This window comes from Homo sapiens, chromosome 16 (genome assembly GCF_000001405.40).
Source record: "Homo sapiens chromosome 16, GRCh38.p14 Primary Assembly".
Taxonomy (NCBI): domain Eukaryota; kingdom Metazoa; phylum Chordata; class Mammalia; order Primates; family Hominidae; genus Homo; species Homo sapiens.
Window position 1 is genome coordinate 46,850,959 of NC_000016.10, and position 27,118 is coordinate 46,878,076.

Genomic DNA, 27,118 nt, shown 5'->3' on the forward strand with positions numbered 1-27,118 from the left:
CACTCACAGCAGCTTTCCTGGCTTTACCCATATTCCTTTGGATCTCTGTATGCTTTTCAGTTGCTCTGTAGAGTATAGCAGGCTAGTCAACCTTGTGGGCTGGTCAGAGGCATCTGCAACAGTTGTGACAGCTGCGGAAAAAAATGGATGCAAATTCTACAGCCTCAGAAGAAATGAGTGAAATTTTCCATGCTTGGTTTATTAGAGCTATTTCTGAAGTAAGACTTTTAGGACTTATAAAACCTACCAAATAGAAGACTGACCATTTGGCAAGGCTAACATGGGGCGGCTGCTAGAAAGCAAATGAGTGAAGCCAGAATATCATGTTGAGTTTAAGAGAAAAAGGAGGCCCGTCATATTTACATACCACTTACAGGAGCAGTTTTGGTGAGAAGAGAAATGTGTAATCCCTTGTGATGTTTAACCAGAAAGTATGTTGCTAACCCCAAACAGGTGTCTATCAAAACACCTGTGGAGTACTTTAGAATTCAACAAATAACATACATTATAATTAAAACCTCTCACACATTATTGCTGTACTTCTCACAAAGTCATTATTAAATTATGAGTAAAAATTTTTTTTTTCTTTGAGATGGAGTCTTGCTCTGTCATCCAGGCCAGAGTGCAGTGGCATGATCGCAACTCACTGCAACCTCTGCCTCCCAGGTTCAAGTGATTCTCCTGCCTCAGCTTCCCCAGTAGCTGGGATTACAGGTGCCCACCACCACACCCTGCTAATTTGTGTATTTTTAGTAGAGTTGGGGTTTCACCATGTTGGGCAGGCTGGTCTCGAACTCCTAGCCTCAACTGATCCGCCCATCTCAGCCTCCCAAAGTGCTGGGGTTACAGGCATGAGCCACCACGCCCAGCCTATAAGTAAATCATTCTTGAAGATACTTGGTTCAACCCAACATGCAAAAAGTCAAAGTGCCTGGGATGACTCCCCCACTTCTCCTCCTGCCCTCCCATTTGATCAATGACTGATAGGTCAGGAGTTCGATGCCAAGCTCTTGGCCTGCAGTCAGACCTCCTGAAACAACTTCCCCTTCAGAGTTGCCCTGCAGGTCAAGCTGGAGCTACCTCCACAGGTATGCCTGCGGTCACACCTGCTGGCTTCCTCTCCTCTGCCCTGCTCCCTGCTACTCCATTTTCCCTCTCCCCTGGGAGCACTCCTTAACGAGTCAGTCTCACCTGAATCCACATCTTAGGGAGTACTTCTCCAAACCCAACCAAGAACCAGCCCCTGGGGTTGGTGCCTGTGCAGGAGCTCTGGCCTACGGAGCCATCCTGCTGAGCTCCTGCCCTCTTCCTGTCCCATCAGTTCTGGAGGGTGGAAGCAGCTTCCTCCAATCACTGACCCTGGCCTGCTTCCCTGGACTTTGATTGTTTCCTTTGGTCCCTTCTCACACCTTTGTTAGTAGCCTATCATTAAACTCTCCCCAGGCATCCCTTTGTAGTGTACTACTGAAACCGCCTTTGCAAAATTTATAACTGAGGAAATTATGACAGTGAAAGAGATCAGACTTAATCCACTCTATCTTGCTTCTAACCTTTAAGCTCTCCTTTTTTTTTTTTTTTTTGAGATGGAGTCTCACTCTGTTGCCCAGGCTAGAGTGCAGTGGCACAATCTCAGCTCACTGCAACCTCTGCCTCCCAGGTTCAAGCAATTCTCCTGCCTCAGCCTCCCGAGAAGCTGGGATCACAGGTGCCCACCACCATGCCCGGTTAATTTTTGTATTTTTAGTAGAGACTGGGTTTCACCATGTTGCCCAGGCTGGTCTCGAACTCCTGACCTCAGGTGATCTGCCCATCTTGGCCTCCCAAAGTGCTAGGATTACAGGCGTGAGCCACCTCGCCCAGCCTAAGCTGTTCTTACTCATTCCTGGGTGTAGGCCGAACTAACCTTGGGAAGGAATTCAGTTTCATGGTTTGACTCTGAAACAAAATTGATAATAGCCCTTTCCTGAAAAGACCCCTTTTTGCCTGGGGCCCAGTCTGCCTTTGCCAGACTAACAAATTAGCTACAATATTAGAAATTGTGGTTTAGGGGTCATGCAGACTCTGGCTCCAAAGAGTCTGAACCTCTCCAAATTGCTCCTGGGGATAACATCACCATGTAAAACCTAAGATCAGTGCTTGAGATATTTTGCAGACCCTGCACTTGATGGATCAGCTGACACCACCAAGACCCGTAATCTGGCTCAACCAGTTCTGCCATCCCACCCAGGAACAGAAGACAGAAAGAAAACCTCACTTCGACCCCCTGCGATTCTATCTCCAACCTCAACCATCAGCACTCCCCACTTCCCAAGCCCCTATCTCCCAAATTATCTTCAAAAACTTCGATCCCTGAATGCTCTGATTTGAGTAATCATAAAACTTCAGTCCCCTGCACAGCCGGTTCTGCATGAATTACTCTTTCTCCATTGCAATTCCCCTGTCTAGGCAGGTCTAGGCAGTGGGAAAGGTGAACCCACTGGGCAGTTACACTACCTGCCTATTTTCTGCCAGAAACCTGAATCATAAATAGGACCATTACAGGATTTATTTTTAAAATATCCATCTATCCATCTTTTAAAAAAATCCATCTTTTTTTTTTTTTAAAGAGACAGGTCTCACTCTGTGGCCCAGGCTGGAGTGTGCAGTGGTGCTATCATAGCTCACTGCAGCCTCAAACTCCAGGGTTCAAGCAACTCAGCCTCACGAGTAGCTGGGACCACAGGGATGCACCACCATCTTTTGTAGAGACGAGCTTGCTATATTGCCCAGGCTGGCCTCAAACTCCTGGACTCAAGTGATCTCCGGGTCTCAGCCCCCAAGGTGCTGGGATTACAGACATGAGCCACCATGCCTGCCCTTAAATGTCTGTCTGTCTATCTATCTATCTAATCAATCTATCATAACACTCTAGAGATTTGGAATGAAACAGAAATTAATGTTGTGCAATGATTGCCCATTTTTGTCATCTAGTCAATTTGGCTCTGGGACTATATGTATAATAATCTGATTTAGAGATAATACTGAAAGTCTGATTTGAAGGTTCTTCCTGAATATGAAGGTAGAGGTACTGACCTACCCATTTCCCCCCAGATTGGCCCTCAGAAAGGCCTTTCAGCTGGAAACAGCCAGTAAACAATTTGCAAAAGCCGGCATCCGGCGCTAGATGGCAGCTGTGACCCACTGGTGTTGTTGCTCACTGAGGCCCATTAACAATTCCAGCTTGCCTGGCCCAGCAGGTTCACCATTTGCAGTCCAGCAAAAGCCAGCTCTCCTGCTGGCTCTCCACTCTCAAATCAGGGTTAGTCCACATTCCTCCAATGCAGAGGCAGTTCGTGATTTTCCAGCACTTTGGGTACCTGGAACTCCCTGCCCTGTCAGGGCCTGGGAAGGTTCCTATTGGTATCTCTCTCCAACCACCCTCCCTCAGTGCACCTGTTGCTAGACACTCAAACAAATGGAAACCCAAGGGTCAGGGTCTCTGAGGAGAAGACCAGAATACAGACACTTAGGGGGAACTCTCCTGGTGCAGGAAAGATTGCTGTGTTTGGGCTCTCCCTGGCTGGATGACCTCCATAATCGCTTTAGCTGGCCTCCCTTACCCTCTTTGGACTTAGCAAATGAGTGCCATTGGTCTTGCAAGTACCTGAAGCCCTGTGCAAACTAGCCTAAGCCATATAAAAAGATGGGATAGTTATTTAGTTAATAGCTTTTTTTTTTTTTTTGAGACATCCAGGCTAGAGTGCAGTGGTACTATCATGGCTCACTGCAGCCTCAACTTCCTAGGCTCAAGTAATCCTCCCACATCAGCCTCCTGAGTAGCTGGGACTACAGGTGCTCACCATGTTTTTGTTTTGTTTTGTTTTGTTTTGTTTTTGTTTTTGTTTTTTGTTTTTTGTTTTTGGTAGAGACGAGGTCTTCCTATGTTGCCTAGGCTGGAAACTCCTGGGCTCAAGCAATCCTCTGACCTCAGCCTCACAAAGTGCTGGGATTACAGGCATGAGCTACTTCACCCAGCCTAGTTAATAGCTTTAAAAGTCATAGGTGTGTTAATTTAGACACAACTGTAGCCACACGAGTTTCAGGTATGGCTGGATCCAGGTGCTCAAAAAAAATCAGAAATCAATTTGTCTTCATCTATCTCTACCCTTCTCTTTCAAGCACAATATCCAAAGTGCTGAAAGAAATGCAGGTCTTTCTTCCTAGTTATGCCAAGAATCCCAGACTTGACTTAAATTCAAACTCATTCCTAAATTAATCACATGGGAGGAGCCCTGGTAGATGACATACTCAATTTGGCTAGGTCAAGTGCCCATTATTAGAAAGAGGGGTAGGTCAGGATGAGAATGAGGGAGGCTTGGATCCTCCAAAAATCAGGGTCCTGCCACCTGGAGAAGACACAAGACAAACCAATTCATCGATGCCCACGATGACCAGAGAGCGAGTTTCCATCCCCCTCCCACTCACTTTCATCAGTTTACTCATTCGGTACACTTCAGGACGTCCTGAAAGCACTTCCAGCCCTCCCTCTCCCTTCTTCCCAGATAAAAGTCCTGCTTATCCAATCTCTGGGCGCTCCTATCAGACAGTCTCCTAACATTCTGTTTTTTTCCTTCAAAGCATTCTGTTTTTTCCCTTTATCAGTTCAAGATAATATTGTGATATGTGTGATTATTAACCTAGTGTGTAACTTTCCACTAGACCATAAACTTCAAAGGGACAAGGTCTTGGTGTCCCCAGACCCTCATACAGTAACTGGCACATAGAGGGTATTCAGGAAATGTACATTTGTTCATTCATTTGATAATTGTCTATTAGAAACTGAGGAAAATAAGTTCAATCTGACATAGTCCCTTTCTGGCCTCTACCTTAATGATGGAGGCAGACTAGTAAATCAATGATCACTGTCCAGTTGCAATGCTTTCTCCAAGAATGGTGAACTCAAGGGAGCCTGGGGAAGGAATATCAAAATCAGAGGGCTCCAACAGTGTTTCCCAGCAGAGTCATGACATTGGCCTAACTTTAGAAAAATGAGAAGGCATTAGAGAGATGAAGGAGAGGAAGAAGATTCCCTCTGAAGCGTATTCGAAAACATGGACATGTAACATAGCCTGATGTATTCTGGTGGGACTTGATGACCTTAGTCTCATTGTATTAACTCTCTAGAACAGGAAGTAACTATCTAGGAACTAGGTCCTTTAGATAAGCCAATGCCTTTTTTAAAACAGTAGAAAATAAAGGGGCAGACTGGGCTTGGTGGCTCACACCTGTAATCCCAGCACTTTGGGAGGCTGAGGTGTGAGCATTCCTTGAGGCCAGGAGATTGAGACCAGCCTGGGCAACACAGCAAGACCCCATCTCTTTAAATTTTTTTTTTAATTAGCTGGACATGTTGGCATGTGCCTGTAGTCCCAGCTACTTCAAAGGCTGAAGCAGGAGGACTACTTGAGCCTAAGAGTTTGAGGCTGCAGTGAGCTATGATCACATGGCTGCACTTCAGCCTGGTGACAGAGTGAGGCCCTGCCTAAAAAAACAACAGTAACAACAACAGAAAGGAGATTTATCAAAAGTAGTTTTTTTTTTCTTCTTTTCTTTTCTTTTTTTTTTTTTTTTAAGATAGAGTCTCACTCTGTCACCCAGGCTGGAGCACAATGGCACGATCTCGGCTCACTGCAACCTCCACCTCCCAGGTTCAAGTGATTCTCCTGCCTCAGCCTCCTGAGTAGCTGGGACTACAGGCGCACGACACCACACCTGGCTAATTTTTGTATTTTTAGTAGAGACAGGGTTTCACTATGTTGGCCAGGCTGGTCTCGAACTCCTGACCTTGTGATCCGCCCACCTCGGCCTCCCAAAGTGCTGGGATTACAGACGTGAGCCACTGCGCCCGGCCAAAAGTAGAATGTTTGTGGAAAAAGACTGGATACATAGCTGGGCGCGGTGGCTCACGCCTGTAATCCCAGCACTTTGGGAGGCTGAAGCGGGTGGATAACCTGAAGTCGGGAGTTCGAGACCAGCCTGACCAATATGGTGAAACCCCGTCTCTATTAAAAATACAAAAATTAGCCGTGCATGGTGGCCGGCGCCTGTAGTCCCAGCTACTCTCAGGAGGCTGAGGCAGGAGAATTGCTTGAACCTGGGAGGCGGAGGTTGCAGTGAGCCGAGATCGTGCCACTGCGCTCCAGCCTGGGAGACAGAGCGAGACTCCGTCTCAAAAAAAAAAAAAAAGACTGGATACAAAGAATATGGAGACAGTCTCTGATGATATCAGTGCCTGGTAGTAGGACCTTAGTAAACATGCAAATGCCTGGATAAAAGTAATTGGCATCGATATGGTTTGCTTTAAGCAGAGAACAAGCCAGCCAGGGATCTAGCCCATTAAGAATTCAAGCAGACTCCTAAAGGCACACAAAAGAAATAAAGGGTAAAAGAAATCACTTTAAAACAGGAAGATTTATATAACCCTGTCTGTGTAGAAGAAAAATGTTCCCAGTTTCGCATGCCATTCGCTGCCAGGATCTGAGATTGTTACTAAGAAAGAGATGGGAGGAGGGTGTTGAGGGAAATAAGATGCCAGGCCAGGACACAGGCACAGAGAATTTGACATTTAGGGTTTGAAAAGACCTGGAACAGAAGCCTCTTTTGCTTTTAAGGCTTCTCTTAATTGCCACATTTGAGGCCTGGGATTTATGAAGAAAGCACTTTTCAAAAGGACAATTTACACTTCATTATAGAGAAAGTTCAAGTGCAGTCCCCAATTTCCCCTCTAGTTGCAATCCTGAGCCATTTGTGGAGCAGCTGTGTCAAGTGGGGAGGAGAGCTATAAATGGTTTATAAATCAGTGCACGACGTCACAGATGGAAGCAGTTGCTGCTGCACCGGCTGGCAGCGAAATTGTGAATCAGTCTAAAGTTCTAGAACAATGTGAATCAAACCTCACAGTGAAATGCCCTTAATGGTATTCAACAGCTATGCCCTCACCCCCAGACCAGCCTCAAGGCAAACCACAACAGCCATGCCCTCACCCCCAGACCAGCCTCAAAGCAAACTACACCCCAGTGTGTGTGGGGGCCAAGGAGACTTTTACTTCACCCTTGGAAGGTTCACTGAAAAATCAGCTCACAAAAGGTAGGTTAATTGGAGAAGAAGCATGACATGTATACACAGGAGACTTCCAAATGAAGACCCAAAGATGCAGGGGAAGTTGTCCATTTTTGCGCTTAGATTCGACAAAGTCTGGACAGCCATGTAGAAATAGGATTGGGCAAAAAGGGTCTGCGCTAACGCTCGCTAATAGACAGAGTGGGGAAACCCAGCAAGATCTGTCGGTCTGGATTCTTCTTGGCCTCTCCAAGCAGCATTCCTTCCCTCTAGGTATGGGGCAGGATCCTCTTTCCAATAGGGATCTTATGACCTACAGTCAAACAGGGTAGGCCAGTTTTTTCACAGAATATTTTTAGGTTTTATGGCTGGCTTGGGGGAAAAAGGGTTTTGGTGTCTATGATCTGCCTTGAGGAAGAGGGATTCTAGTTTCTATAACTAGTTCCTGGGGAGAATGGGCCTAAAAGACAGGAGGGCAGAAGGTCAGTGAAAACCTTTAGCCTCTGAGGCTGCTTCTGCAGCCTTCGTCTTGGGGTATCATTTTCTGAGCTCCAACACATGCAAAGGGGTGATATCTGGAAGTTGCTCATTGCAGACTAAGATGGGTAAACTGATGAAAGGAGTCACTTCAAGCCACAGCATCACTGTCCTAGGCCAAAGGAACACTGCCCTTTGTTGAAAACTTGCTGCATTAGGAATTTCCCCTATTCTCTCCTAAGGATCATGAAATCTCAATAATGGCAAAGATATCTAGATCTTGTTGCATGCCAGTCAGAGTTCTAAGTATTTTATATATATTAAATCAATTTTATGTCAATAATTTTATGAAGGTGAGGCCATTATCTCCCATTGTACAGGTGAGGAAACTGAGGCACAGAGATTGGTAACTTACCCAAGGTCACATACCCTAAATGGTAAAGCCATTGTTAGAACCAAGGTGGTTTGGCACCACAGTACACACCCTCAACCACTGTGACATGCTGCCTCTTGGCACCGCAGTACACACTTTCAACCACTGTGACATGCTGCCTCTTTTTGTTATTGTCGTTAATTCAATTTTTTAAAAAATTGAGGCGGGGGCTAGAAGCGGTGGCTTATGCCTGTAATCCCAGCACTTCGGGAGGCCAAGGTGGGCATATCACTTGAGGTCAGGAGTTCAAGACCAGCCTGGCCAACATGGCAAAACCCCATCTCTACTAAAAAATACAAAAATTAGCTGGGTGCGGTGGTGGGTGCCTGTAATCCCAGCTACTCAGGAGGCTGAGGCAGGAGAATCGCTTGAACTGGGAGATGGAGGTTGCAGTGAGCTGAGATCGCGCCACTGCACTCCAGCCTGGGCGAAAGAACGACACTCTCCCTTAAAAAAAAAAAAAATGAGATGGGGTCTTGCTACATTGCCTAGGCTGGTCTCAACTCCTGGGCTCAAGAAATCCTCCCACTTCTACCTTCCAAAGTGCTGGGATTACAGGTGTGAACCACCATGCCTGGCCCTGTGTGTGTGTGTGAGACAGGGTCTCACTGTCGCCCAGGCTGGAGTACAGTGGTGCAATCTCGGCTCACTGAAACCTCTCCCTCCTGGGTTCAAGTAATTCTTGTGCCTCAGCCTCCCGAGTAGCTGGGATTACAGGTTCCTGCCACCACGCCCAGCTGATTTTTGTATTTTTAGTACAGACGGGGTTTCACCTTGTTGGCCAGGCTGGTCTTGAACTCCTGACCTCAGATGATCCGCAAGCCTTGGCCTCCCAAAGTGCTGGGATTATAGGTGTGAGTCACTGTGCCCTGCCCTTTTTTTTTTTTTTCAAATTGAGGCTGCTGCCTTTCAGAGGGGGTGCCATCTGAGCTATGCTGAGCTATCCCTTGTCACATCCCCCCTCCCTTCCTCTTCATTCAAGGAATTCTGATGAGGCTGCCATCTTCATTGGTAACCAGCAGTGGAGACTTTGACTAGGTATGAGCCAGTCGGACATCAGCCTTGCCCTGACCTCAGTGATGTGGGCGGGACCCAGGCTGGGGCTGTGATGCAGTGAGAACCAGTGAGTCACGATGAGACTTTTCCTGAGGCCTCTGAAGTTCTCTGTTCTCTGCTGATTTTGGATGGCAGGGAGTTCAGCAAGGATCTACTGGAGCCCTTTCACTACATGAGGGGAAGCTGCCTGAAGGGAAGTCGACAAAAACAGAGAAAATAGCAAAAAGGGGACCTGGGCTGCAGACCAGGACCCACAGCAGTGACTGGGGCATCACCAAGAGCACATAGTGTTGGACTCATGTCACATAATATAAATGGGCCCTGAGACTGGGAAGGGCAATATTGCCATCACCTCATTTGAATCCTGAATCCAGCCACTCCTGAAGTGTCAAATACCTCCACACTCCATGAGCCAATGTATATGTTTTTAAAAGGCAATATGAGTGGGGTTTTCTGCCACTTGAATAATAATGCATCCTAATCAAAACAATCTCAATGAGCCTAGCAAAAACCGAGCCAGAAAGCCCATTAGTTACCAATGCTGGGATGGAACAGTAAGTCTGTCAGTCAAAAATGAAACTGTGAATCAAGGTCCTCACCATGCTAAACAACAGAGAAAGAGCCAGGAACATGTTTCTAAAATCCTCAACCATTCTCAAGCTTTACATTTTTGTACAAATGGAGAATGGCAACAGCACAGATAATCCCTCACAACTGCATTAAAGGATTCACTTTCATGATTGCATTTCACTCTGGTTAATGTTAAAATGACTATGTCCCATCCTCAGCAGACTCCGGTGCATGGTCCTCAGCCCTGCTGAGATGGCATTTAAGTCAGCCAGGCATCCAAAGGGAACCCAGAGACAAGGGGACTTTAGCCTCATCTATGTGTTCATCTCTTATGAAGGAAGGTCATATAATTGAAAGTTATCTTTAAAAAGTTGAAGTCAGGGGCTGGGCATGGTGGCTCACGCTTGTAAATCCCAGCACTTTTGGGAGACCGAGATGGGAAGATCACTTGAGCTCCGGAGTTCAAGACCAGAGGCTTGGCAAAATAATGAGACCACATCTCTACAAACATGAAAAATAAAAAAATTATCCAGGTGTGGTGGCGTGTGCCTGTAATCCCAGCTACTCAGGAGGCTGAGGCAGGAGGATCACTTGAACCCAGAGGTCAAGGCTGCAGTGAGTTGTGATCACACCACTGCACTCTAGCCTGGACAACACAATGAGACCCTGTCTCAAAATTAAAAATAAAAATAGGCCAAGCATGCTGGCTCACACCTGTAATCCCAGCACTTTGGGAGGCCGAGACAGGCGGATCATCCGAGGTCAGCAGTTCAAGACCAGCCTGACCAACACAGAGAAACCCCGTCTCTACTAAAAACAAAAAAAATTAGCCAGGCATGATGACATATGCCTATAATCCCAGCTACTCAAGAGGCTGAGGTAGGGGAATCACTTGAACCCAGGAGGCAGAGGTTGCGGTGAGCCAAGATCACACCATTGCGCTCCAGCCTGGGCAACAAGAGCTAAACTCCATCTCAAAAATAAATAAATAAATAAATAATAAAAATAAAAATAAAAAGTTTGAGTTAAAGAACAAGTCATATAATTACACTATCTTAGATGAATGTTTTTATACTTTTTTTTAAAGTAGTGGAACCCTCAAATAAAACCTGATATGAAACACTGTAATAAACATGTGTTATGTTTTGCCTTCTTTGGGTGTAGAATCTAATATAAGGTAGCTTGCTTCCTGGGAACCACATCCTATTCACATCTGAGTGTGGTTCCAGCACATGGTCCTGGCCTGGCCATGGGGGCAAATATAATAATTTGCTTCCTGAGCTCTCATGGTTCTTTTTCCCTTCATAATTCTGGAAAGACACAGCAGTGGTATAGTTTTTTGATCTCCTAGAATCCACCTTGCAGGAAAAAAAAAAAAAAAAAAAAAGGCAGAGCAACTAGATGGTAAAACCAAAAACCTATGAAGAGCATTTTCAACAAAGCCAGATTATAAGGTATCCCCATGAACTGTAAAAGGTAAGAGCATGACGACAACAATTCCCACCACTATAAGATCTATATGATATTCGCATTTATATAGAATAATGCAGAGGGAAGAGATAGGGCACCTCAGGGGCCAGCAAACAGGTCTTCGCAGGAGGGCAGAGTGAGCCAAACTGAGAAAAGCAGCTAAAGTGGGAGGTGTTCTGCATGCTTCAATATGGGTGAGTACAAGGAGTCTCTGATAAGACTGGAGGGGTTGGAGCAATTGAGGCAACATCAACTTTTTTTTTTTTTTTTTTTTTGAGACGGAGTATTACTCTGTCACCCAGGCTGGAGTGCAGTGGCGCAGTCTCGGCTCACTGCAAGCTCCGCCTCCCTGGTTCACCATTCTCCTGCCTCAGCCTCCCGAGTAGCTGGGACTACAGGTGCCCGCCAACATGCCCGGCTAATTTTTTTAATTATTATTATTTTTAGTAGAGATGGGGTTTCACCGTGTTAGCCAGGATGGTCTCAATCTCCTGACCTTGTGATCCACCCGCCTCAGCCTCCCAAAGTACTGGGATTACAGGCATGAGCCACCGCGCCCGGCCGCAACATCAACTTTTAAAGCAATTGTCTTAGTCCTTTTGTGTTGCTATGAAGAAAGACCTGAGGCTGAGTAATTTATTAAGAAAAGAGGTTTATTTGGCTCACAGCTCTGCAGACTGTATAAGAAGCATGACGCCAGCATCTGCTTCTGGTGAGGCCTTAGGAAGCTTCCACTCATGGCTGAAGGGGAAGGGCAGCCAGCATGGGCAGAGATCACATGATGAGAGAGAGCAGCAAGAAGAGAGAGGAGGAGGCACCAGGCTCTTTATAACAACCTACTTTCTTGGGAACTAGTAGAGTAAGAACTTACTCATTACCACAAAGAGGTCACCAAGACATTCATGAGGGATCCACCCCCATAACCCAAACACCTCCTGTTAGGCCTTGCTGCCAACGCTGGGGATCAGATATCTTTTTTTTTTTTTTGAGACGGAGTCTCGCTCTTTTGCCCAGGCAGGAGTACACGGCACAATCTCGGCTCAAGTGATTCTCCTCCCTCGGCTTACTGAGTAGGTGGGATTACAAGTGTGAGCCACCACGCCCAGCTAACTTTTGTATTTTTAGTAGAGACAGGGTTTCACCATGTTGGCCAGGCTGGTCTCAAACTCCTGGCCTCAAGTGGCCTCCTAAAGTGTTAAGATTACAGGCGTGAGCCACTGCCCGGCTGGGGATCAAATTTCAACATGAAGTTTGGAGGTTTAAATATTCAAGCTACAGCACTAATCAACCAAGCTCCCTTCCACAAAACAGATAAACAGTATAAACTAGTATTTTGAAACTAGCTAAAAGACATTTTGAAAGATACAAAGAACAACATACATACGTAAATCAGAACTAGAAAAATATAGCAATTAGGTGATAAAACTCAAGGAAAAAATAGTAATAAATAAAAAATTTATTTCAGAAATGAAACTAAACCAGAAGGAAAACAAAAGTAAATAAATAAGCTGGGCACAGTGGCTCACACCTGTAATCCCAGCACTTTGGGAGGCTGAGGCAGGAAGATTGCTTGAGCTCAGGAGTTTGAGCAACATAGTGAAACCCCATCTCTACCAAACATTAAAAAAAATTAGCCCGGCATGATGGTGTGTGCCAATAATCCCAGCTATTCCGGTGGCTTAGGTGGGAGGATCACTTAAGCACAGACTTCAGTGAGCTGTGATTGTGCCACTGTACTACAGACATAGTGAGGCCCTGTCTCAACAACAACAACAAAAAAGTAGATAAATGCTACAAGTATTGCCTGATAAGAAATAGAAGGTGAAAAAAATTAAAATTGAAAATAAGGAAAAAAGAAAACAAAAAGTATGTGCAAAAAAGTGACAAATATTGAAGCCATGCAAATAAGATCTCTGAAAATAATTAAAAATCTAAGCTATTGGAACTCTAAATTATTTTGAGCCTTAGAGGAATGTTACCTGACAGGCAACTGTAACTTAGGCAGCTGTAACCCTTTGCTTCTGATTATAGATTAGTCTTATTACTTACCTACATTGTTTTGTAAAATGTTTCAAATGACTAAAGGGCATCAGGAAAGACTCTTCACTGTTGATCTTCATTATAGATTGACTTCCCTCTTACCTTTCTCACATAGACTTTTTGGCCATCACATTGTCATAAAATGGAATGCTAAATACCTTAAATTGGAAAGGAGGGCCAGGAGGTGGCTCACACCTGTAATTTCAGCACCTTGGGAAGCCTAGGTGAGAGGATTTTTTGAGGCCAGGAGTTTGAGACCAGCCTGCTCAACAGTGAGATCCTATTTCTTCTTATTATTTTTTTAAAAATTAACCAGACATGGCGGCAAGCACCTGTAGTCCCAGCTACTCAGGAAGCTCAGGTGGGAGGATCCCTTGAACCTGGGAGGTCAAGGCTGCAATGAGTCATGTTTGCACCATTGTACTCCACCCTGGACGAAAGAGGAACATCCTGTCTCAAAAATAAATAACTATGTAGGAAAGGAAATGAAAACCAGTTGTAAAGAAAAGAAACCAAGCCATATAGAAAAGGAAAGAAGCTGTAACTAAATGGTTGTTAACTCATGAACCAGCCTCATATAGAAAATGATCCTACTTCTTTGTTTTCTGCCTACTTAAGCAAGAACTTAACTCTCAACTTCAGAACACTGACCCCATTTCCCTACACGCTGTGTCTCCCAGATAGTCATTCCCAACATTTTGCTTTAATAAACTCTTTAAAACTGGATTCTGGGCGGGGCACGGTGGCTCACGCCTGTAATCCCAGCACTTTGGGAGGCCGAGGCAGGCGGATCACGAGGTCAGGAGATTGAGACCATCCTGGCTAACATGGTGAAACCCCATCTCTACTAAAAATACAAAAAAATTAGCTGGGCGTGGTGGTGGGCGCCTGTAGTTCCTGCTACTCGGGAGGCTAAGGCAGGAGAATGGCGTGATCCTGGGAGGCGGAGTTTGCAGTGAGCTGAGATAGTGCCACTGCACTCCAGCCTGGGTGATAGAGTGAGACCCGTCTCAAAAAAAAAAAAAAAAAAAAACTGGATTCTGATCCTTTTGATTATTTCAGATTGGCAGTTCCAACATATTATAAATAGAAGTAACTGCAAAAGAAAACCAGATTAAAGGAACAATGTGGCAAATACCAAAAACTATAATTGGTTTTGTTTGTTTGTTTGTTTTTTGAGACACAGTCTCACTGTATTGCCCAGGCTGGAGTGCAGTGGTGTGATCTTGGCTCACTGCAACCTCCACCTCCCAGGTTCAAGCGATTTTCCTGCCTCAGCCTCCCAAGTAGCTGAGATTACAGGTGTGTCCCACCACACCCAGCTAATTTTTATATTTTTAGTAGAGACAGGGTTTCACTATGTTGGCCAGGCTGGTCTTGAACTCCTGATTTAAGTGATGCCCCAGCCTCAGCCTCCCAAAGTGCCAAGATTACAGGCATGAGCCACCATACCCAGCTCAAAACCTATAATTCAAGACAACTTTCTTAAAGATTACATATTGGCTGGGCATGGTGGCTCATGCCTGTAATCCCAGCACTTTGGGAAGCCAAGGCAGGTGGATCACTTGAGCTCAGGAGTTGGAGACCAGCCTGGGCAACATGGTGAAAACCCATCTCTACAAAAAATACAAAAAGTAGGTGGGTGTTGGGGCACACACCTGTAGTCCCAGCTACTCAGGAGGCTGAGGCAGGAGGATTGCTTGATCCTGGGAGGTTGAGGCTGCAGTGAGCTTATTGCACCATTCCCTCCAGCCTAGGTGACAGAGTAAGACCCTGTCTCCAAAGAAAGGAAAGTGTGAGCCAAGATTTTGTATCTGAGTATAAGGGACACAAACACTAACAACCTCTCAACGTGCAAAAACTCAGGCATCTTGCTTATAATCATGGTCACTTTGAGGGAGGGATGGTTATGATTGGGATGTGGTATGTGGATAGTTTCAGAGGTAGCTGGAAGTTCTATCTCTAGTCCTGAGTTGTAGCTGTAAGGGTGTTCATTTTTAATAATTTACCATATGTATGTTTGGTGTTTTTTAAATATCTGTGTTATGTTATATAATAAAAAGTTTAAAAAATAATGATGAAATAAAATATATAATAATTACATTAGGGAAACTTGAATATGGACTGGGGTAGTATTATGAAACTATTGTTAAATGTGTACATATAATATAATGGTATTGTAGTTATGGAGTAGAATGTTCTTATTTTTGGAGATACATATTGAAGAATTTACTATAATTTATTTTAAAGGCTGGGCATGGTGACACATGCCTATAATCCCAACTACTCAGGATGCTGAGGCTAGAGGATGGCTGGAGCTCAGAAGGTTGAGGCTGCAGTGACCCCTGATTGCATCACTGCACTCCAGTCTGGGCAACAGAGCGAGACTCTGCCTCAAACAAACAAACAAAGAAACAAGCTTGGAGTGTCACCAGCAAGATGGTGGACTAGAAAGCTTCAGGTCCTTGTTTCCACTATGGAAACATTAAATGAACAACTAGAAACTGGCTAAAATAACTTAATAGGGACTGTGGAAATCAATAAAAAGACCAGCAACTGAGTGAATGCACATCTAAGAAAAAGCCACATTAAAAATGGAAGGAGCCTGGCATGATGGCTCAGGTCTGTAATCCCAGCACTTTGGGAAGCCGAGGTGGGCGGCTGACTTGAGCCTATGAGTTTGAGACCAGCCTGGCCAATATAGTGAAACTCCATCTCTACTAAAAATACAAAAACTAGCCAGGCATGGTGGCACATGCCTGTAGTCCCAGTTACTCAGGAGGCTGAGGCAGGAGAATGCTCAAGCCTGGGAGGTAAGAGGTTGCAGTGAGCTGAGATCACACCACTGTGCTCCAGCCTGGGCAACACAGCTAGACTCTGTCTCAAAAAAAAAAAAAAAAAAAAAGGAAGGAAGTTTCATGTTTTGTTTACTGTATTAGTTTGTTTACACATTGCTAATAGAGACATACCCAAGACTAGGTAATTTATAAAGAAAGGAGGTTTAATAGACTCATAGTTCAGCATGGCTGGGGAAGCCTCAGGAAATTTACAATCATGGCAGAAGGGGAAACAAACACATCCTTCTTCACATAGCAGCAGCAAGGAGAAGTGTAGAGCAAAGGGGGCGGAAAGCCCCCTGTAACACCATCAGATCTCGGCCGGGCACAGTGGCTCACACCTGTAATCCCAGCACTTTGGGAGGCCAAGGTGGGTGAATCATGAGGTCAGGAGCTCAAGACCAGCCTGGCCAACATGGTGAAACCCCATCTCTCCTAAAAATACAAAAAATTAGCTGGGCGTAGTGGCGGGCGCCTGTAATCCCAGCTACTCAGGAGGCTGAGGCAGGAGAATCACTTGAACCTGGGAGGTGGAGGTTGCAGTGAGCCAAGATTGCGCCACTGCACTCCAGTCCAGGCAACAGGGTGAGACTCCATCTCAAAATAAATAGACAAGTAAATAAATAAATAAATAAATCCATTAGATCTTGTGATAACTCACTCACTATCATGAGAACAGCATGGAGGTAACCACCCCCATGATTTAATTACCTCCCACTGAGTTCCTCCTACGACACATGGGGATTATGGGAACTACAGTTCAAGATGAGATGTGGGTGGGGACAAAGTCAAACCATATCATTCTGCCCCTGGCCCCTCCCAAATTTCATGTCCTCACTTTCAAAATGCAATCATGCCTTCCCAACAGTCCCTCAAAGTCTTGACCCATTCCAGCATTAACTCAAAAGTCCAAGTCCAAAGCCTCATCTGAGACAAGGCAAGTCCTTTCTGCCTATGAGCCTGTAAAACCAAAAGCAAGTTAGTTACTTCCTAGATACAATGGAGGTAGAGGCATTGGGTAAATACACCCATTCCAAATGGGAGAAATTAGCCAAAACAAAGGGACTACAGGCCCCATGCAAGTCCAAAATCCAACAGGGCAGTCACTAAACCTTAAAGTTCCAAAAGATCTCCTTTAGCTCCATGTCTCACATCCAGGTTATGCTGATGCAAGGGGTGAGTTCCTACCACCTTGGGCAGCTCCACTTTTTTGGCTTTGCAGGGCACAGCCCCCTCCCGGCTACTTTCATGGGCTGGTGTTGAGTGTCTGCAGCTTTTCCAGGTGCATGGTGTAAGCTGTCGGTGGATCTACCATTCTGGGGTCTGGAGGATGGTGGCCCTATTCTCACAGCTCCATTAGGCAGTGCCCCAGTGGAGACTCTGTGTGGGGGCTCCAACCCCACATTTCCCTTCCACACTGCCCTAGCCGAGGGTCTCCATGAGGGCTCTACCCCTGCAGCAAAATTCTGCCTGGACATTCAGGTGTTTCCATACATTCTCTGAAATCTAGGCAGAGGTTCCCAAACCTCAATTCTTGACTTCTGTGCACCCACAGACTCAACACCATGCAGAAGCTGCCAAGGCTTTGGCTTGCACCCTCTGAAGCCATGGCCCAAGCTGTACCTTAACCCCTTTTAGCCATAGCTAGAGTGACTGGGATGCTGGGCACCAAGTCTTGAGGCTGCACGCAGTAGGGGGGCTCTGGACCCAGCCTAGGAAACCATTTTTTTCTCCTAGGCCTCCTTCCAGGCCTGTGATGGAAGGAGCTGCCATGAAGGTCTCCGACATGCCCTGGAGACATTTTCCCCATTGTCTTGGTCATTAACATTTGGCTCCTTGTTACTTATGCAAATTTCTGCAGCAGGCTTGAATTTCTCCTCAGAAAATGGGTTTTTCTTTTCTACTGCATCCTCAGGCTGGAAAATTTTCAAACTTTTATGCTCTGCTTCCTCTTGAACACTTTGCTGCTTAGAAATTTCTTCCACCAGATACACTAAATCATCTCTCAAGTTCAAAGTTCCACAGATCTCTAGGGCAGAGGCAAAATGCTGCCGGTCTCTTTGCATAGTAACAGTGACCTTTGCTCCAGTTCCCAACAAGTTCCTCATCTCCATCTGATCACACCTCAGCCTGGACTTCATGGTCCATATCACTATCAGCATGTTGATCAAAGCCACTCAACAAGTCTCTAGGAAGTTCCAAACTTTCCTACATCTTCCTGTCTTCTGAGCCTTCCAAGTCTCTATGAAGTTCCAAACTTTCCCACATTTTTCTGTCTTCTTCTGAGCCCTCCAAACTGTTCCAACTTCTGCCTGTTACCCAGTTCCAAAGTCGCTTCCACATTTTTGGGTATCTTTACAGCAGCGCCCCACTCTCTGTGGTACCAATTTATTGTATTAGTCTGCTCTCATGCTGCTAATAAAGACATACCTAAGACTGAGTAATTTATAAAGAAAAGAGGTTTAGAGGCTAGGTGCAGTGGCTTCATGCCTGTAATCCCAACACTTTGGGAGGCTGAGGCGGGTGTATCATGAGGTCAGGAGTTCAAGACCAACCTGACCAACATGGCAAAACCTTGTCTCTACTAAAAATACAAAATTAGCCAGGCTTAGTGGTGGACACCTGTAATCCCAGCTACTCAGGAGACTGAGGCAGGACAATCGCTTGAACCCAGGAGGTGGAGGTTGCAGTGAGCGGAGATCATGCCATTGCACTCCACCCTGGGCAACAAGAGCAAGACTCCATCGGCAAGGCAAAGCGTTTAGGTCAGGCACGGTGGCTCACGACTGTAATCTTAGCACTTTGGGAGGCTGAGGCAGGCAGATCACAAGGTCAGGAGATCGAGATCACACTGGCCAACATGGTGAAACCCCCGTCTCTACTAAAAATACAAAAAAAATTAGCTGGGTGTGGTGGTACATGGCTGTAGTCCCAGCTACTCAGGAGGCTGAGGCAGGAGAATTGCTTGAACCCGGGAGGCAGGAGAATTGCTTGAACCCGGGAGGCAGAAGTTGCAGTGAGCCTAGATCGTGCCATTGCACTCCAGCATGGCGATGGAGCAAGACTCCATCTCAAAAAAAAAAAAAAAAAAAAAGAGGTTTAATTGACTCACTGTTCAGCATGTCTGGAGAAGCCCCTCAGGAAACATACAAGCATGGTGGAAGGGGAAGCAAACACGTCCTTCTTCACATGGTGGCAGCAAGGAGAACTACAGAGCAGAGCAGGGGAAAAGCCCCTTATAAAACCATCAAATCTCGTGAGAACTCACTTACTATCATTAGAACGGCATGGAGATAACCACCCCCATGATTCAATTACCTCCCACTGGGTCCCTCCCATAACATGTGGGGATTATGGGAGCTACAGTTCAAGATAAGATTTGGGTGGGGACACAGCCAAACCATATCACTTGCCCTACCTGTGTTTATGCCACCGAACTCCAGCTTGGGTGACAGAGTGAGACCCTGTCTCAAAAAAAAAAAAAAAAAAAACCAAGAGCAACAACAACAAACCCTCAAACAATGGAATTGGCTGGAGCATTTCTTCATCTCTGAGAGGCTCTGACCATAATAGGGTTCTGGATACTCTAGACTAGTACAAGATTGTCAGGTCTTTGTAAAATTTGTATTTTTCTCATATTTTTTGGTATACTCTGTTTCCCCAAACTGTTCAAAAGCTGAGATCCTCTGCTCTCTGTGTCCCGAGGCAACAAGAAAGGAGAGCTCTGCATTGGTGGCCAAACTGTCTAACCAAGTATCTAATCCAGCAAGCTGAGTACCTGAGTCTAAGGCAAAAAAGAAAAGCTAAGGCTGGGTGTGGTGGCTCACACCTGTAATCCCAACACTTTGGGAGGGTGAGGCAGACAGATCACGTGAGGTCAGGAGTTTGCAACCAGCCTAGTCAACATGATGAAGCCTCATCTCTACTAAAACTACAAAAAATTAGCTGGGCATGGTGGCACGTACCTGTAGTCCCAGCTACTCGGGAGGCTGAGGTGGGAGAATGGCGTGAACCAGGGAGGCGGAGCTTGCAGTGAGCCGAGATCATGCCACTGCATTCCAGCCTGGGTGACACAGGGAGACTCCATCAAAAAAGAAAGAAAGAAAGAAAGAAAGAAAGAAAGAAAGGAAGGAAGGAAGGAAGGAAGGAAGGAAGGAAGGAAGGAAGGAAGGAAGGAAGGAAGGAAGGGAAAGAAAGAAAAGCTGGGAGCTGGAACCAGAGCCTTGCAGCTAGATGAACACATCCAGCTCATCCCCAGCTTATGAGCTGGCACTTTTCTTTGCACTTGTAGGGAAGGAGCCTGTGGCCAGCAGCCCCTGGCCTCATCTGTCTGGGGCTTGCTTGCATCACTGCCGTATCATCTATCACAAACAGTCCTCAAAAGCCTATCCTTGGCTGGGTGTGGTGGCTCATGCCTGTAACCCCAGCACTTTGGGAGGGTGAGGCAGGCCAATTACCTAAGGTCGGGAGATCAAGACCAGTCTGACCAACATGGAGAAACCCCGTCTCTACTAAAAATACAAAATTAGCCAGGTGTGGTGGCTCATGCCTGTAATCCCGGTTACTCAGGAGGCTGAGGCAGGAGAATTGCTTGGACCAGGGAGGTAGAGGTTGCAATGAGCCGAGAAAACACCATTGCACTCCAGCCTGGGCAACAAGAGCGAAACTCTGTCTCAAAAAAAAAAAAGCCTATCCTCCTCTCCTGTCCTGGAATCTGGCTCTATGTTGGCCCCTTTCAGCCACGCTGGGACGCAGGGCACCAAGTCCCTAGTCTGCACACAGCACGGGGACCCTGGGCCTGGCCCACCAAACCATTTTCTCCTAGCCCTCCGGGCCTGTGATGGGAGGGGCTTCCATGAAGGCCTCTGACATGCCCTGGAGACATGTTCCGCATTGTCTTGGGGGTTAACGTTTGGCTCCTACTTACTTATGCAAATTTCTGCAGCCGGCTTGAATTTCTCCTTGGAAAATGGGTTTTTCTTTTCTATTACATGGTCACTGCAAATTTTCCAAACTTGAATGCTCTGCTTCCACTATAAAACTGAATGCCTTTAACAGAACCCATCTCACTTCTTGAATGCTTTGCTGCTTAGAAAATTCTTCTGCCAGATACCCTAAATCATCTCTCTTTGGAGTTCAAAGTTCCACAAATCTCTAGGGCAGGGGCAAAATGCCGCCAGTCTCTTTGCTAAAACATAACGAGAGTCACCTTTGCTCCAGTTCCCAACAAGTTTCTCATCTCCATCTGAGACCACCTCAGCCTGGACCTTATTGTCCATATTGCTATCAGGCTTTTGGTCAAAGCCATTCAACAAGTTTCTAGGAAGCTCCAAACTTTCCCACATTTTCCTTTCTTCTTCTGAGCCCTCCAAACTGTTCCAACCTCTGCCTGTTACCCAGTTCCGAAGTTGCTTTCACATTTTCGGGTATCTTTTCAGCAACGCCCCACTCTACTGGTACCAATTTACTGTATTAGTCCATTTTCATGCTGCTGATAAAGACATACCTGAGACTGGGAAGAAAAGTAAGTTGTTTTTTTTTTTTGAGACGGAGTGTTTCTCTTTTGCAAAGTAAAAATATGGTATTATAATCTTATGAGATCACCATTGTATACATGCTCTGTCATTGAAACGTTGTTATATGGCACACAATTGTATGTAAGGTGCTGAAAGAGAAAACCTGTCACTGATAATTCTACACCCAGCAAAACTGTTCTTCAAAAACAAAGAAGAGACTGGGCACAGTAACTCACACGTGTAATCCCAGCATTTTGGGAGACTGAGGCAGGTGGATTACTTGAGCCCAGGAGTTCAAGACCAGCTTGGACAACATGGTGAGACACCGTCTCTAAAAAATAATAATAATAATTGGCCGGATACAGTGGCTCACGCCTGTAATCCCAGCACTTTGGGAGGCCAAGGTGGGCGGATCACCTGAGGTCAGGACGAGACCAGCCTGGACAACATGATGAAACCCTGTCTCTGCTGAAAATACAAAAAATTAGCCAGGCGTGGTAGCAGATGCCTGTAATCCCAGCTAATCGGGAGGCTGAAGCAGGAGAATCGCTTGAATTTGGGAGAGCCGAGATCGCACCACTGGGCGACAGAGTGAGACTTTGTCTCAAAAATAAATAAATAAATAAATAAATAATAATATTAAAAATGAAACACAAAGGAGAAAATAGACATTTCTAAATAAACAAAAGCTGAGGAAATTTGTTATCACTAGACTCACCCTACAAGAAATGCTAAAGGGAATCCTTCAAGTTGAAATGCGATGACACCAGACAGTAACTCAAAGCCACATGAAAATATAAATTTCCATAGCAAAGGTAAATAGACAAATATGAAAACCAGTATTACTGTAATTTCTGTTTGTAACTATACTTAGGGGATGCTGAACACATCAATGTAGTGGGAGGGTGGCATGCTCAAGAGAGGGCATGGAAGCTCTGTGCCCCTCCCAGCCTCCCACGCCTTGTTCTTTGGCTGTTCTTGTTTTATTCTTTAAAACAAAACTGTAATAATGATTATAGCACTTTCCTGAGTTGTGTGAGTAATTCTAGTGAATTATTGAATACAGGGGGTAAGTCATGGGAACTCCCGAATTTTTAACCAGCTGGGCAGAAGTGTGGGTGCCCTGGGGACCCCACTTGTGGCTGGTGTCTGAAGTGGGGGCAGTCTTGTGAGACTGAGCACTGAACCCATGGAGTCCTAAGTTCAAGTCTTAGCTTTGCCACCCTAGCTATGTGATTTTTTTTTTTTTTTTTTTTTTTTTTTGCTCTGTTGCCCAGGCTGAAGTACAGTGGCATGATCACAGCTCACTGCAGCTTCGGCCTCCCAGGCTCAAGGGTATCCTCCCACCTCAGGCCCCTAAGAAGCTGGGACCACAAGTGTATGCCATCATGTCGGCTAATTTTTTTATGTTTTGGTAGAGATGAGGTCTTGCTATGTTGCCCATGCTGGTCTCGAACTCCTGGGCTCAAGCCTCCCAAAGTGCTGGGATTACAGACATGAGCCACTGTGCCCAGTCTAGCTATGTAATCTTGATAAGTAGCCCAACCTCTCTGAACATCAGTTTTCCTATCTGTATAATGGCGATAACGGTGGTATGTCATAGGGTTCTTCTAAGGCATCTATGAGATGATGCATTAAAGCACTTGGGGCAGTATCCAGCACATTAAAAATATCCAATAAGGCTGGGTGTGGTGGCTCAATGCCTGTATATAATCCCAGCACTTTGGGAGGCCGAGGAGGGTGGACCACTTGAGGTCAGGAGTTTGAGACCAGCCTGGCCAACATGGCGAGACTCCATCTCTGCTAAAAATACCAAAATTAGCCAGGCATGGTGTCAGGGCACCTGTAATCCCAGCTACTTGGGAGGCTGAGACACAAGAATCGCTTCAGGCCGGGCGCGGTGGCTCACGCCTGTAATCCCAGCACTTTGGGAGGCCGAGACGGGCGGATCACGAGGTCAGGAGATGGAGACCATCCTGGCAAACAAGGTGAAACCCCATCTCTACTAAAAATACAAAAAAATTAGCCAGGCGTCGTGGCAGGCGCCTGTAGTCCTAGCTACTCGGGAGGCTGAGGCAGGAGAATGGCGTGAACCCGGGAGGCGGAGCCTTCAGTGAGCCCAGATTGCGTCACTGCACTCCATCCTGGGCGACAGAGCCAGACTCCATCTCAAACACAAACAAACAAACAAAAGAATCGCTTCAACTGGGGAGGTGGAGGCTGCAGTGAACCAAGATCATGCCATTGCACTCCAGCCTGGGCAACAGAGCACGACTGTCTCAAAAAAAAAAAAAAAAAAGTCCAAAAGTCCAGGTGCAGTGGCTCAATGCCTGTATGTAATCCCAGCACTTTGGGAGGCCAAGGCAGGAGGATGGCTTAAAGCTCAGGAGTTTGAGACCAGCCTGGGCAACATGGCAAAACCCCATTTCTATTAAGAAAATATATTTTAAAAGTCTAATAAATATTACCTATAAATGTTATATAATATTATTATTAATAAAGCTGGGGGTGGGATGGAAAGAGAGCATAAGGAGGAATAGCTAATGGATGCTGGGCTTAACACCTAGGTGATGGGTTGATCTGTGCAGCAAACAACCATGGCACATGTTTACCTATATAACAAACCTGCACGTCCTGCACATGTACCCCAGAACTTAAAATAAAAGTTGAAGGAAAAAAAAAAAAAAGAAAGCTTTGTGCCAGGCCTACCTGGTGCTAAACCCAAATCATAGATAATACTCTAGGTAAATAGTTCTGCCCGTTTCTTCTGAAGAATGAATAAGAACTAGAATTCACACTTTAGGAGACTGAGGCGGGAGTATCACTTGAGCCTAGGAGTTTGAAACCAACCTGGGCAACATGGCAAGACCCTGTCTCTAAAAATTAAACATAAAAAATCAGCCAGGTATGGTGGCAAACTCCTATAGTGCCAGCTACTCAGGAGGCTGAGATAGGAGAATTGCTTGGGCCCAGGAGTTCGAGGCTGCAGGGAGCCAGGATCATGTCACTGCTCCAGCCTGGGCAACAGAGCAAGACCCTACCTCTAAAAAAAAACAAAAAATAGAGGCCGGGTGCAGTGGTTCACGCCTGTAATCCCAGCACTTCGGGCAGCCGAGGCGGGTGGATCACGAGGTCAGGAATTCAAGACCAGCCTGGCCAACATGGTGAAACCCTGTCTCTACTAAAAATACAAAAATTAGCTGGATGTGGTGGTGCGTGCCTATAATCCCAGCTACTCAAGAGGCTGAGGCAGGAGAATTGCTTGACCCGGGAGGCGGAGGTTGCAGTGAGCCGAGATCATGCCACTGCACTCCAGCCTAGGCAACAGAGCAAGACTCCATCTAAAACAAAAAGAAAAAGAAAAAAAGAAAGCAAAGAAAAGAAAAGATACCAAAAAAACTAGAATTCAAAAAAATAAAAGTATAGGCCGGGCGCAGTGGCTCACGCCTATAATCCCAGCACTTTGGGAGGCCGAGGTGGGTGGATCACTTAAGGTCAGGAGTTCGAGACCAGCCTGGCCAACATGGTGAAACCCCGTCTCTATTGAAAGAACACAAAAATTAGCTGGGCATGGTGGTGGGCACCTGTAATCCCAACTACTCAGGAGGCTGAGGCAGGAGAATCACCTGACTCCAGGAGGCAGAGGTTGCAATGAGCCGAGATCGCACCATCGCATTCCAACCTGAGCGACACAGTGAGACTGTGTCTCAAAAATAACAAAAACAAAAAGAATAAATGAGAACTACAAAGCATAGGGCTTATGGTATTGTATGATTATTTTTTTCTCCTGTTTCTAGGTCCCAAAACTATTTTGTGAGCTTCTCTAGTTGAAAAATTCTGTGGCTTTATGAAAATATCTAGGAAAACTAGATAAGTAAACCTTTTGGAAATACTGATTTGAGCCATTGCTTAATATTTTGTCTGTGTTTTAGCACATTCAACAGCTGAAATCACTTGAGTTTGCAGATAAGGATTCTATTAGTCCCTTGGGGTGTTTCTGAAATTGTTTCCATATGTCTTCCATGGCGCAAATAAGAGTCCTCAGATCCCTAAAGATCAGGAAGCAAGAAATCAAGGAATATGGAACAACAAACACCCTCTGAATGAAAGGTTTTATTTGCTCATGAAGCTTATACAATTGTTCATTCGCTACAGCTCTTCCAGCCTCTCCTCATTCTCCGAAACCACCTGGATTTGGTTGAGTGCACTGCCAAGACCGAAACGTGCCTGCCAGTGCTTTGAAATGTTATCAATGCAGTACTGAATTGTAAACACCACTTTTGTAAAATGTCTTTACTCAGTTTTAACCTCTGTAAGTTACATAAGAATGTGTCCCTTGTTTGTGTATAGCTTAGCTTAGTATCATAAGTTTATCTTTAATCCACTTTGAACGTCATGGTGAGAGCATTGGGATACATGTGTCCCGGCTATTAGCTCACCTAAACTAATATTTGCTTGTTAGAGGCAATGATTTGCTTCAAGGAGACTCAGAGCAAGTAGGATCTCAACGAAATTTCCCTGACCATCCCCTAAAAACTTGAGCCTGACTTAAATTAAAAAAAAAAAAAAAGAAGGCCGGGCACAGTGGCTCACACCTGTAATCCCAGCACTTTGGGAGGCAAAGGCGGGCGGATCCCTTGAGTCCAGGAGTTCAAGACCAGCCTGGGCAACATGGCAAAAACTTGTCTCTATGTAAAAACAAACAAACAAAAAAAAATGAGGCCTTCATTTAGAAAGAAAAACATGGGCCAGGCGTGGTGGCTCATGCCTGTCATCCCAGCACTTTGGGAGGCTGAGGCGGGCAGATCATGAGGTCAGGAGATCAAGACCATCCTGGCTAACACGATGAAACCCCATCTCTACTAAAAATACAAAAAATTAGCTGGGTGTGTTGGCGGCACCTGTAGTCCCAGCTACTTGGGAGGCTAAGGCAGGAGAATGGCGTGAACCGGGGAGGCGGAGCTTGCAGTAAGCCAAGATTGGGCCACTGCACTCCAGCCTGGGCGACAGAGCGAGACTCCATCTCAAAAAAAAGAAAAACACGAAGGACAAGGATTAAAGCTAACTAAAATGTAGGAGTTGGAGGGAGATTCCAAGCAAATACCCAAATACCTTCTAACACCCCCAGAAACTGCTCAGTCGCCATCTCTGAAAAAGGCCACAAACACTCTAAGATTTACACTCTTTCTCTTTTTAAATTATCTTCCATCACACAGGAAATCCTTATTCATATTATAATATGGTAAGATGTACATAAAATTTTCTATTTTAACTATTTGGGGGTGTACAGTTCAGTGACATTATATACATCCACATTATGCAACCATAACCACTGTTCATCTCCAGAACGTTTTCATGTTGCAAACTGAAACTATGTACTCATTAAACAGTAACTCCCAGCAGGGTGCGGTGGCTCATGCCTGTGATACCAGCACTTTGGGAGGCTGAGGCAGGCGGATCACAAGTTCAGGAGATGGAGACCATCCTGGCTAACATGGTGAAACCCCGTCTCCACTAAAAATACAAAAAATTACCCAGGCATGGTGGCATGCACCTGTAGTCCCATTTACTTCGGACGGAGGAGAATCACTTGAACCCAGGAGGCGGAGGTTGCAGTGAGC

The 27,118-nt window shown here is 45.6% G+C and overlaps 5 annotated features.

The window, feature by feature from the left end:
- Nucleotides 94-163: an enhancer, noted in NCBI's record as "active region_10778". NCBI's record gives its function as "activates an Ori minimal core promoter by ATAC-STARR-seq in GM12878 lymphoblastoid cells {active_cell/tissue: GM12878}" and the evidence as "EXISTENCE:reporter gene assay evidence [ECO:0000049][PMID:35858748]".
- Nucleotides 8,959-9,253: an enhancer, noted in NCBI's record as "tiled region #14543; K562 Activating DNase unmatched - State 9:DNaseU". NCBI's record gives its function as "activates a minimal TATA promoter and a strong SV40 promoter by Sharpr-MPRA in K562 cells {active_cell/tissue: K562}" and the evidence as "EXISTENCE:reporter gene assay evidence [ECO:0000049][PMID:27701403]".
- Nucleotides 13,609-13,738: an enhancer, noted in NCBI's record as "active region_10779". NCBI's record gives its function as "activates an Ori minimal core promoter by ATAC-STARR-seq in GM12878 lymphoblastoid cells {active_cell/tissue: GM12878}" and the evidence as "EXISTENCE:reporter gene assay evidence [ECO:0000049][PMID:35858748]".
- Nucleotides 18,368-18,974: an enhancer, noted in NCBI's record as "H3K27ac hESC enhancer chr16:46903238-46903844 (GRCh37/hg19 assembly coordinates)". NCBI's record gives its function as "activates a minimal SCP1, AML or CMV promoter by ChIP-STARR-seq in naive H9 embryonic stem cells {active_cell/tissue: H9 hESC(naive)}" and the evidence as "EXISTENCE:reporter gene assay evidence [ECO:0000049][PMID:30033119]".
- Nucleotides 18,975-19,580: an enhancer, noted in NCBI's record as "H3K27ac hESC enhancer chr16:46903845-46904450 (GRCh37/hg19 assembly coordinates)". NCBI's record gives its function as "activates a minimal SCP1, AML or CMV promoter by ChIP-STARR-seq in naive H9 embryonic stem cells {active_cell/tissue: H9 hESC(naive)}" and the evidence as "EXISTENCE:reporter gene assay evidence [ECO:0000049][PMID:30033119]".